General features: G+C 37.1%; 2 annotated features.

Annotated features, from left to right (window-relative positions):
• Positions 5662-5721: a silencer, noted in NCBI's record as "silent region_14559". NCBI's record gives its function as "represses an Ori minimal core promoter by ATAC-STARR-seq in GM12878 lymphoblastoid cells {active_cell/tissue: GM12878}" and the evidence as "EXISTENCE:reporter gene assay evidence [ECO:0000049][PMID:35858748]".
• Positions 6776-6825: an enhancer, noted in NCBI's record as "active region_20141". NCBI's record gives its function as "activates an Ori minimal core promoter by ATAC-STARR-seq in GM12878 lymphoblastoid cells {active_cell/tissue: GM12878}" and the evidence as "EXISTENCE:reporter gene assay evidence [ECO:0000049][PMID:35858748]".

Below are 11194 nucleotides of genomic sequence, written 5' to 3'. Positions count from 1 at the left end.
TATTTGAGGAAAATATAAGAGAAAGAGAAAAAATAAGTAAAGAGACCACAGATAGGCAGGCTTCTAATGAATATATAATAGAACAGATAAGAGATTAAACTTAGAAATACAGAGGTAAATAGACAGATCAAAAAGATTTAAAAGTTGTTGCTTTTGGGCAGCAGGGCTGAGGTGAATAGAAATGGAAAGGGAATTGCTGGGTTTTGTCATAACCTTTTACTACTATTTGATTGTTTAACTGATTTTATTTATTAGATTAATAAAAATATTAAAGAGTAAAGGCCATGGATTTTTAAGCCCTCAAAACATTTTAATTGTGCATATTTTTATCATATAGATGCTTCTTATTAGAAAAAACTTTCCATTCTGTTACATTAATTTTTATCATGTGTTGCCATTACATTACCGCTGTTCTTAAAGACCTCTTCCTGTTTTTGACCTCACTGTTGAGCTGAATTAAATACACGTTATCATCTAACTAGTTTTAACTTTAAGAAGTAAGATATGTTCTGAGAAAAGTATTCTTTAACAGGTTCCAATCGTTCTTAAAGATTCATAGAACTTTATACATGGTGCCCAAATGTCTTTTCTGTCTATGTTAATAATAAGTAAAACTATTGTTTATAAAATGCAAACTAAGTCACAGATTTTGTACACCTCAAGGTACAGGGGAAGGTATTTTATAAAGTGGGTGCTGGACAATGGTCCAGATGTGTGACCTTTTTCAAGTTTTTGCTTGAGAGTTTAGAAGTTACATTTAAATCAATGATCACTGTGTCTAGGGTTATGTTTTCTAAACACAGCAGCCCTCTGGCTCAATCATGAAGATATCTCGTGAGTTCCAGAGGAACTTGGGTATATTTCTGTTTGTATAGAAAGACACTAAAAGAAAAGCATATTCTGGTTTTTACAGGTCTACCTTATTTTCTTCAAATTATATTTTAGTGACAACTTGAAGGAAATGCTATCAATGCTTCAAAACTCCAACACAGTTTTTTTGTGCTGCCACCACAGCATCATCTCTTCATGGTCTGATTGGTGTAAATACCACAGGGATAAGCAAAAGCATGAGACTGAAGACACTTTCTGTTTAGGAAAAATGGGTAACAAGTTGAAGAATGCTTCTCCCTGAAAAATCTTTGGGCTTCCTCTCAATGTTGTTCCTATTGTGTGGGTAGCTCCACCCCAGATACCCACACAAGAACTTGGCCAGGGTAAAAATCAAACCCTGTGTCTCAGGCCACAACAGAGTTTGATTTTACCCTGGCCCGGTTCTTGTGTGGGTAGCTGGGGTGGAGTCCTCTCATTCTTACTCTGCTTTTGTGGTGTGAAAGTCTAAGTTAACTGCTGATTGTTCTTCAACTTATTAGTGCTTTGCTATAATCTTAGGTAAAGTCAGAAATCCCATCAACTCATCTTATTGACATAGGGCAAAAGTACACCTGAATTTTTATTAGTTCAGAATTTTTTTAGAGTAAGAAGTCTTACTCTATAGTCTTTGTATATACGTACAAAGAGAACACAGCATTATGTTTTCATGACCTCGTACATCTTCATTCTTGAACCTTTTAATTTTCTCCCATCAGAAAATATTTTAATTATATAATGTTCAAAAAATTTAGGTGGGCATACTAACACAAAATCCATTTTCTCTGATTTGTAAACCTTTTTTTTTTAAATGAAGAGTTTTTGCTGCTTGCTTATATCTCTGTGGTTTGATGTTTTAGCCTCTTGATTAATCTCAATACTTTCTATCCTATGACTAAACTACTTTCCCTTGCATACACCCTTGGATTTCTACTGCACATCTTTTAAATTTTATGTCATTTATCATCTATATCTCTTCATCATTTTTTCTTAGATTTGTGTAATTCATGTCTCTTCTTTATTTGTAGAGAATCTAAATCTAGTCTTACATAATTGCTCCAGATGATAATAATCTATTTATTTATACTTCTAATTTGTCCCAGAAAGGACTTAAGGTGACATATATAATAATGCATAAAATATAGTGAGATGAATTCAATTGAAAATAAGAAAAGTTGACAAAGGGAAACTAATGGTGGGAAATTAAGATGAGGCCAAGAGCAAGGTCAGTGTTCAAATGCCTGCCTAATAGAGCCGCAGTTTGGCTTCCTGCTATATCCCTGTTTTTTGTTCACCAGCTTCATATCCCTCCCTATGTAGCTTGATGACCACAGCCTGCTTGTGATAGTTAGGGTTTTCCAGAGAAACAGAACCAATAGGATGCATGTGTGTATGTCTGTATATAGCTTTATTTAAGGAATTGGTGAATATAGAGACTGGCAAGTCCCAAATCTGCAGTTCATGCCTGCTGCCAGAATTCTCTCTTGCTCAGGAAGGTCAGTCTTTTGTTCTATTTAGAACATCCACTGACTGGATGAGGCCCACCCACTTTATAAAGGGCAAACTGCTTTCCTCAAAGTCCACTTATTTAAATGTTAGTCTCACCCAAAACACTCTTACAGAAACATCCAGAATAACGTTTGACCACATATCTGGGCACTATGGCCCCACCATGTTGACATAAAATTAATCACCATGCCACTAAAACCTGCAACTTGCCTTTAACCTCCACCTTGTCTTTCTTTTCCTTCCTACATGCACCCTTTCCATTTTCTCTAATTCCTGAAGCTTCAGTTATACTTCACTTTACTCCTTTTTTCTCACGCCTTCCGCTAAAGACACAGGATTCCCAAGGGGTCGTTAGGCCACGGGTTCCTATTTCCTGGGTTGGGTGAAATTCTTCTCCCTTCTGGTTGTTAACTACCGCTTTCAAATAAGTTCCTGGTCCATCTTGAGTGTCCCGCTTACATCTCCCCTAATGGCCCTTCCCCACCCTCTCCCTGTGCCCTACCCCTGGCTCTTTGTAAAAACTCCTTACATTGTTACAGGCCCATCGTGAACCATTTCTGCTAAAGGACTTTACGGTAGGAATTACCTTTGCTACATTAGGCCACGTTTTCTGGGTGCTGATGCAGCTGTATACAGGGTTACGTGAGTGCTTGTTTGAGTGTGTGTTATTGTCGTGAGAGTGGAGCAATAAAGACAGTCCCTGGGAAAAGTTTCCCAGGACCCAGTGGTCCAGTGTGTCTCTGCTACTAGAGGAAGAATGTGGTCCGCCACTCTACTTCTTGTTCCCTGAAGCCCAGACCACAGAGAGGGGTTGTGGGAATCAGTCTCTGCCTGGCAGGTTTTTGAAGCTTGTGAGGGGAAATAACTCTCTAGCTTTCTTTCAGATAGAAGAAAAAAAAAAAAAACAAAAATGAAATAAAAGTAAGACAAGTGGCTGTAACACAAAAAAACTTTATAGACAGAGATTCAAATATAAATCTGAATTGTTCACCCTTTTACTTTATAACCAGGCACCAGAGGACCCGTGAATGCATAATGATCATTTCTGAAATCTTTGGTAGTATTCCCATACAACCTGAGCCCATATTTCAGACCGGTCATAGCTGTGTGATTTAGGGGACGTCACACAGACTCTACTCTTAACTCCTCTGTAAAAGAGAATGAGTAATGTGTACCTCCAAAAATTACTGTGGGAAGTCAATAAAATAACATATGGGAAAGAGTTTTACAAGCTTTTAAGTGTTATGTGGACATTAGGTATTCAGGAAATCAGTTAAAGCCGCACTGAAGACATTAAAACAAACAATCAGATATTTGATACATAGAAAGCTGGGCAAATGACTGTTCAGCACTTTAAAGGTAGGAAGAAGAGGAGACTAGATCAGTCAGAGAGAAAGAGTTTAGTCATTTTCATATCATGATTCTTCCCTTCCCAGTGGAAAGTATATATGAGCATGTATGTTTATGTAATATAGATAGATGTGGCAGTAAATTGCCTTTCACTTTCTCTAGTCAAAATCAAAAATAATAATTTTTAAGCTAGGAAAATTCAGTAATTTGATGAGGGAATTTGGCTGGAAAAGTGAAAAACAATTCAAGGATAGGTATTTATAAATATATCAGAATATTATACATGTATTTTTGTATGCACATGTGTTTTATTTAGGAAGGAAATAACATGTTAACTTTTGCGTATCTTAATTTTTTATTCAGCATTGACTTCCCACCTGTTGTTTAACTTTTTCATTCTTTGTTTTTTTTTTTTTTTTTCCGTTGTGGTCAAGTGCGTATCGAAGACCACCTTAGCTTAGCTGAGAACGTTGTACTTGTGAAGCATTTGAATGTGGGCCACATCAAAGGTGAACAAAATAATTCATTTCCTGGCCCTGCTCAAGTATCCTCACCCTGAGAGTCTGCCCCTGTGGGCCACAACACTGCCACCCATAACAGTCACACCTCTCTTTAAACCCAGGTATATTTGGTATCTGTAACTCTCACCTGACTCTCACATAACAGTCAAATTATTTATCTCTTTGTAAACTTAAATTTACATTTATATGCTCCATCTCTCTTCACACCAGCTAGTGCTAATACCCAACACTGAGGGTGCCAGACAGTGTTCTAACATTACTTAAGTTAACTTAGTCAATATCTGAAATAACCCCGAGGAAGTTATTCTCATTGCATGCCTGAGAAAATTGAGGTGTGGAGGGTTGAAGTTTTTGCTCACCCCCACAGAGCCAAGTGCTGAGCAAAAGGTAGTCTGGGCTGGGTGCCGTGGCTCACACCTGCAATCCCAACACTTTGGGAGGCCAAGGCAGGCAGATCACTTGCGACCAGGAGTTTGAGACCAGCCTGGCCAACATGGTGAAACCCTGTTTAGTCTCTGCTAAAAATACAAAAGTTAGCCAGGTGTGGTGGCATGTGCCTGTAATCCCAGCTACTTGGGAGGCTGAGGCACGAGAATCACTTGAGCCTGGGAGGTGGAGGTTGCAGTGAGCTGAGATCACACAACTGCACTCCAGCCCGGGCGACAGAGAGGGACCCTGCCACAAAAAAAAAAAAAAAAAAAAAAAAAAAATAGTCTGGCCTCTGACATCACTCTCACCCAGAATTATGAAAGCTCAATAGGAATCAATACCTTGTCTCACAGTTTAGGTGCCTCCAGCCCCTAACCATTATTTGCATTCAAGAAAGGAACTGTAAATGTCTTATGGTTGTTACTCTTTGAAAACAAATCCTATAGTTATGGAAACAAACAAATAAAAAATGCTAGAGAACTTGTATTCTCCTAATACCATCTTTGATTAAGCTTTTACTGAGTTCAGAATTAAGGAATGTTAATGATACGAAAGCTTTTATAGCACTGATTTTTTTCAAAGTACCAACCTGTGGTTTGGTGACACAACTATAGAAACATGGATAGAAACTCCCTATTATGCAACAAACCACTTCCTGCATCTGTTTATTCATTTATTTGCAGTGTTTTAGCTAAACTCTTATCCACTTGTAGGGTCATATACTTGCAACTGTATCACTATATGTAGCATAAATATCACAAACTGCTGAAGAACATGGACTTGGTAGCTAGATTTTGAGGTTAGAATTCAATGTAATTCTGTATAAATAATACATACCTCAATAGGACAGTAGAAAAGATGACCTATGTTAACAAATGTAAAGCAATTAAAACAGTGCCAAGCACATAGTAAGTGCTTTATACATGTTTACTATTACTATTAAAACTCCAAAATTTCAGGAAATATACTTAGTTCAGCCTTCTGTAATCAGAAGTTTTGACTCAATTTAACCTGAGAGATAACAAAGTGAATGCCAGGCACGGTGGCTCACACCTGTAATCCCAGCACTTTGGGAGGCCGAGGCAGATGGATCATCTGAGGTCAGGAGTTTGAGACCAGGCTGGCCAACATGGTGAAACCCCATCTCTGCTAAAAATACAAAAATTAGCTGCGCTTGGTGGCACATGCCTGTCCCAGCTACTCAGGAGGCTGAGGCAAGAGAATCACTTGAACCTGGGAGGCAGAAGTTGCAGTGAGCAAAGATTGTGCCACTGCACTCCAGCCTGGGCGACAGAGCGAGACTCCACCTCAAGAAAAAAAAAAAGAAAGAAAGAAAAGAAGGAGGGAAAGAAAGAAAGAAAAAGAAGGAAAGAAAGAAAGAAAAGTGAAGCCTCTTTTCAGAGAACATCAGATCTTAGTTTTGGAAGGAAATCCAATTGTATGCTGCTCACACTTCTAATATACCTAAGAGGTAATAATAGTGATTCTGCTTGAACATTTCCAGTGATGGAGAACTTAACTACCCCTCAGAAAATTTCATTTTATAATTGGATAATTTAGTTATGAATAAACTTATATTTTATATTGAACAGAAATCTACCTTTCCGTAAATTCCACCTACTGGTTCCAGTGGTTAAATAGCAAAGCAGTGGTTTTTAAATTGTCTTGTGCAGAAATGTTTCAGAAGTTCTTAAAATGTTTGATCAAAATTTCATTTTTTTAAAAAGACATTTTTGAATCATTTGTTAAAACTGAAAAATTTAAAGGATGTGTAATATCCTTGGGAAGATTGCCTAACTTCTCCAATTCTCATCTTTTTCATCTACAAAATGAGTATAATTAGTAGATGAAAAATAAGTCTTCAATAAATGTTAACTGCATCTGTATAATTCTTATATTATTTGCATTTTGATACCAGCTATTAGAAGGCTTCCTTTAAAGCTCTGTGACTCAGAGGTCTTGTGGTTTCTCGCTGCAGACAATTCTCAGCTATCCTTTTCCTCAACTCAGTGGAGGATTTCTTTTGAGGGTTCAAACCCCCAACTTGGCCTTGTAATCAACTGAGCACAGGCTGACCTGGGTCTCCATCACTTCAAGGTAATCCACCAAGAGTGCTCACTCAACTCCCAGCCGCTACAGTTCCTGAAAATCTTCTAAGACAGGTGTTCAGATGCCCTGGCCTTGCTGTAATAGTAGTGGATGCTTTGGAAATCCACTGGAGCTGAGTTTTGCTAACACCAAGGTGCTGAGAGGTTTTCCACTGTGGTGTGATCCTGTGTAACTGCTGCCGACTGCATACCCTGCCATCCCTGCAGATTCTCAGCTTCCTGATTCTCTGATGGACCCTATGGCTTCAGAATAGGGAGAAATATGCCACAATAGAATTCTACTTTTGGGATAATTACCATCTTGTTAATCCAGCTTTGCAAAGGCTGAAGACTAGAGATTGGGTAGCTCTCAGTTCTCTATTCAGAAAACCAACGTATGTTTCTCCTGCCTACATACTCAGCTCCTCTGAGCAGGAGATAGTCAGGGAGAAGTCTGTCTGAGCTTGGCTCAAATGATATTCCCCTTTGGCTATGTGTCCTGTAGAGCTCTGTGGAGCATAATTTTGCTAGTTTTAAATATTATAAATGTAATACATTTTCATTGTAAGTTTTTTTTCAAACATTACTAGTATAAGTATACGGCATAAAATAAAAAGTTACATATCCCTACCACTATCTCACCCCCAGGTTTCACCACCCACTGATAGATCCTTATACATCTTTGAGGAAATTTCTCACTCTTATGCATATAACTATGCATAAATGTCTATTTTTATAAAAATATTGAAGGAGTCTTATAATAAATATATAAATATGTGCTTTATATACTTTAGTGTATTTTGGGCATTTTTCCATAGCAACACATTTAGGCTGCTTCCTTCTTTTTAATAAACACCTTATAATTTTATATTACATATTAAATATATATTAAAAGCTCTATAACATTTAATTAATATATTAAATGCTCTATAACATTTAATTAAGTTTAAAAATTTATTTACCCAGTACTTTATCAATGGATATTAAGATACTTTTCCTTTCTTTGTTTTTTTCATCCTTCCAAACTGTGGCAGGCAGTCTCAAAAGATGGCCCCCAATGAGCATTATCTCCTTGTGTATTCCCTTCCCTCATTGAATTAGTCTGTCCTGTGTAACAAGAAGACATTGTGCGAATGGCAACATATGACTTCCACGACTAGGTTATAAAAAGCATAGTGGCTTCTGCCTTGTACTTTCTTGAATTACTCATTCTGGGAGATGCCAGTTAACTTATCATGAAGATCCTCCAACAGTTATATTGGGAGGCAAGGGGTGAGGAGCTTGGCCCTCTTGCAACTTGTCAGCCCACAGGTCAAATTGGAATTGGATCTTCCAGCCCCAGTCAGACTTTGAGATGACTGCAGTCTCTGTCAACACATTGACTACAACCCCATGAAACAGCCACTCAACTAAATTGCTCTCCAATAACTGAGACACAGAAACTCTATGAGATAATGATGTCTATTATGACTTTAAACTTTAAAGTTTTGGGGTAATTTTTAAGCACAGGAGTAGATAACTAATAGACAAACAATGTCACAATGATCATCCACGTCTACTTATTTTTGTGAGAATATAAAAAGTCTGTAAAACAAATTCTTAGGAATAGAATTGAAAATAGTTGAAAAGAGTGTGAATTTTAAATTTCACTTAATAATATGCAATTTAATTTAACAGTGTCCCACAGTGAATGAGTGGGCTTCTCCATACCTACCCTCAACATTGAAGCTCACACTATAATTTTGCCATTTTATAACTTTTAAAAAAGTTTTTTTTTTTCCAACTTGGACTTAGTTATGCAGGAGGTTGAGCATTTATAAAATATTCATTGACAATTTATATTTATATTTCTGTTAACTGCCAATTTATATCTTAACTCGCTTTATATTGAATTGATCTTTTTGCTATTAGAGCTTTTTGTATAATAAGAAAATTAGCCCTTTTTTATAAGTATGCATGTTTTTCCCCATTTTGAAATTTTTATTGTAACATAGTTTATACATCTTTTTAGGGCAGAAAATGTTTACTTTTTGTAGTAAAATGTATCTTTTATTTTTTCATCAATTTTTATTTTAAGTTCTGGGGTACATGTGCAGGATATACAGGTTTGTTACATAGGTAAATGCGTGCCATGGTGGTTTGCTGCACAGATCAACCTATCACCTAAGTGTTAAGCCCAACATCTATTAGTTATTATTCCTGATGCTCTCCCTCCCCCTGCTCCCATGACACACCCCAACATGTGTTGTTGCCCACCGTGTGTCCATGTGTCCTCATCATTTGGCTCCCACTTATAAGTGAGAACATGCAGTGCCTGGTTTTCTGTTCCTGCATTAGTTTGCTGAGGATAACAGCTTCCAGCTCCATCCATGTCCCTGCAAATGATATGATCTTGTTCCTTTTTATGGCTGCGTAGTATTCCATGGTGTATATGTATCACATTTTCTTTATCCAGTCTATCATTGATGGGCATTTGGGTTAATTCCATGTCTTTGCTATTGGGAATACTGCTGCAATAAACACATGCATGCATGTATCTTTAAAATAGAATGATTTATTTTCCTTTGGGTATATACCCAGTAGTGGGATTGCTGGGTCAAATGGTATTTCTGCTTCTAGATGTTTGAGGAATTGCCACACTGTCTTCCACATGGTTGAAATAATTTACATTCCCACTGACAGTGTAAAAGTGTTCCCTTTTCTCAGCAACCTCACCAGCATCTGTTGTTTCTTGATGTTGTAGTAATTGCTATTCTGACTTGCATGAAATTGTGTCTCATTATGGTTTTGATTTGCATTTCTCTAATATAGGTGATATTGAGCTTTTATTCATATGTTTGTTGGCTGCATGAATGTCTTCTTTTGAGAAGTGTCTATTCGTGTCCTTTGCCCACCTTTAAAAGGAGTTGTTTTTTTCTTATAAATTTGTTTAAGTTCCTTGTTGACTCTGGATATTAGACCTTTGCCCATCAGATAGATTGCAAAAATTTTCTCCCATTCTGTAGGTTGTCTGTTCACTCTAATGATAATTTCTTTTGCTGTGCAGAAGCTCTTTAGTTCAATTAGATCCCATTTGTCAATTTTTGCTTTTGTTGCAATTGCTTTTGGTGTTTTCATCATGAAATCTTTGCCTGTGCTTATGTCCTGAATGGTATTGCCTAGATTTTCTTCTAAGGTTTTTATTGTTTTGGGTTTTACATTTGAGTCTTTAATCCATCTTGAGTTTTAGTTTTGTAGAAGGTACAAGGAAGGGATCCAGTTTCAATTTTCTGCATATGGCTAGCCAGTTCTCCCAGCACCATTTATTAAATAGAGACCCTTTTCCCATTGCTTGTCTTTGTCAGGTTTGTCGACGATCAGATGGTTGTAGGTGTGCAGTCTTATTTCTGAGTTCTCTATTCTGTTCCATTGGTCTATGTGTTTGTGTAAAATGTATCTTTTAGAAAAAGATTTTAGGTTTTATAAAGCTTTCCCTACCACACTGGGAATTGTTCAAAGGAAAACTCCCATATTATCTTCTGAGTTAATAAGATACTAGTTTTTTCCTACCAGTAGCAATGACTACAAAATTGGCTCTCAAAACAACAACAAAAAGCTCTGAATTGTAGTATTTGCCAATTTCCAAAGTGTAAATACTCCCATCATGTCCAATTTCAAGCTGCCCATGTGACTTCGCTGAACACAGAGTTAGGAAAAGATGTGCACAGTTGGCTCTTGCCAGCTGATATATGCCAACTCTAGCACATCACTGCACCAGAAATGTATTTTGACATAAGGGTTGAGAGAGATCCAGCTTCTTATTTTGTTCTTTTTTTCCAAACAGCTGAAGTGAATGCTGAAGTACATATAGGACTATAAATCTGATTAAAATAGCTATGCTTTTATTCCAACACAAATTTATGTCAATTATGTTCTTACCTAATATGTGATGTATATATATGTAAGCTTTGACTTCAAGGTAGGGTTTTTGAACACATGTACACAAGGAGGGGAACAACACACACTGGGGCCTGTCAGAGTCGGGGGAGGGAGAGCATCAGGATAAATAACTAACGTAGGCTGGGCTTAATACCTAGGTGATGGGTTGATAGATGCAGCAAACCACTGTGGCACACGTTTACCTGTGTAACAAACCTGCACATCCTGCACGTGTATCCCAGAACTTAAAATAAAATAAAATTAAATTTAAAAAAATGTTTGCAAACCACTGAGCTGAGTCTTTATCAAGACGGGAGGATGGGTGGGGAAGAGAAAGATGTGTCTCTAATTCACTTACAAAGTTGCAGTTTCTCCTTAGATCTTCAATTCTCCCACCCACATAATCCCACATATTTTAAGTACTAAATGCCCTCATCTTCTGTATTTCTGTTTGTTCAAATTTTCTTTTTTTTTCCTACCGTTAAAAACTCATCTCAGAGTAAAAAAATGAGT

This window comes from Homo sapiens, chromosome 3 (assembly GCF_000001405.40).
Source record: "Homo sapiens chromosome 3, GRCh38.p14 Primary Assembly".
NCBI classification, from domain to species: domain Eukaryota; kingdom Metazoa; phylum Chordata; class Mammalia; order Primates; family Hominidae; genus Homo; species Homo sapiens.
The sequence above is the reverse complement of the archived record's forward strand: the minus strand, read 5'-3'. Positions and strand labels throughout refer to the sequence as shown.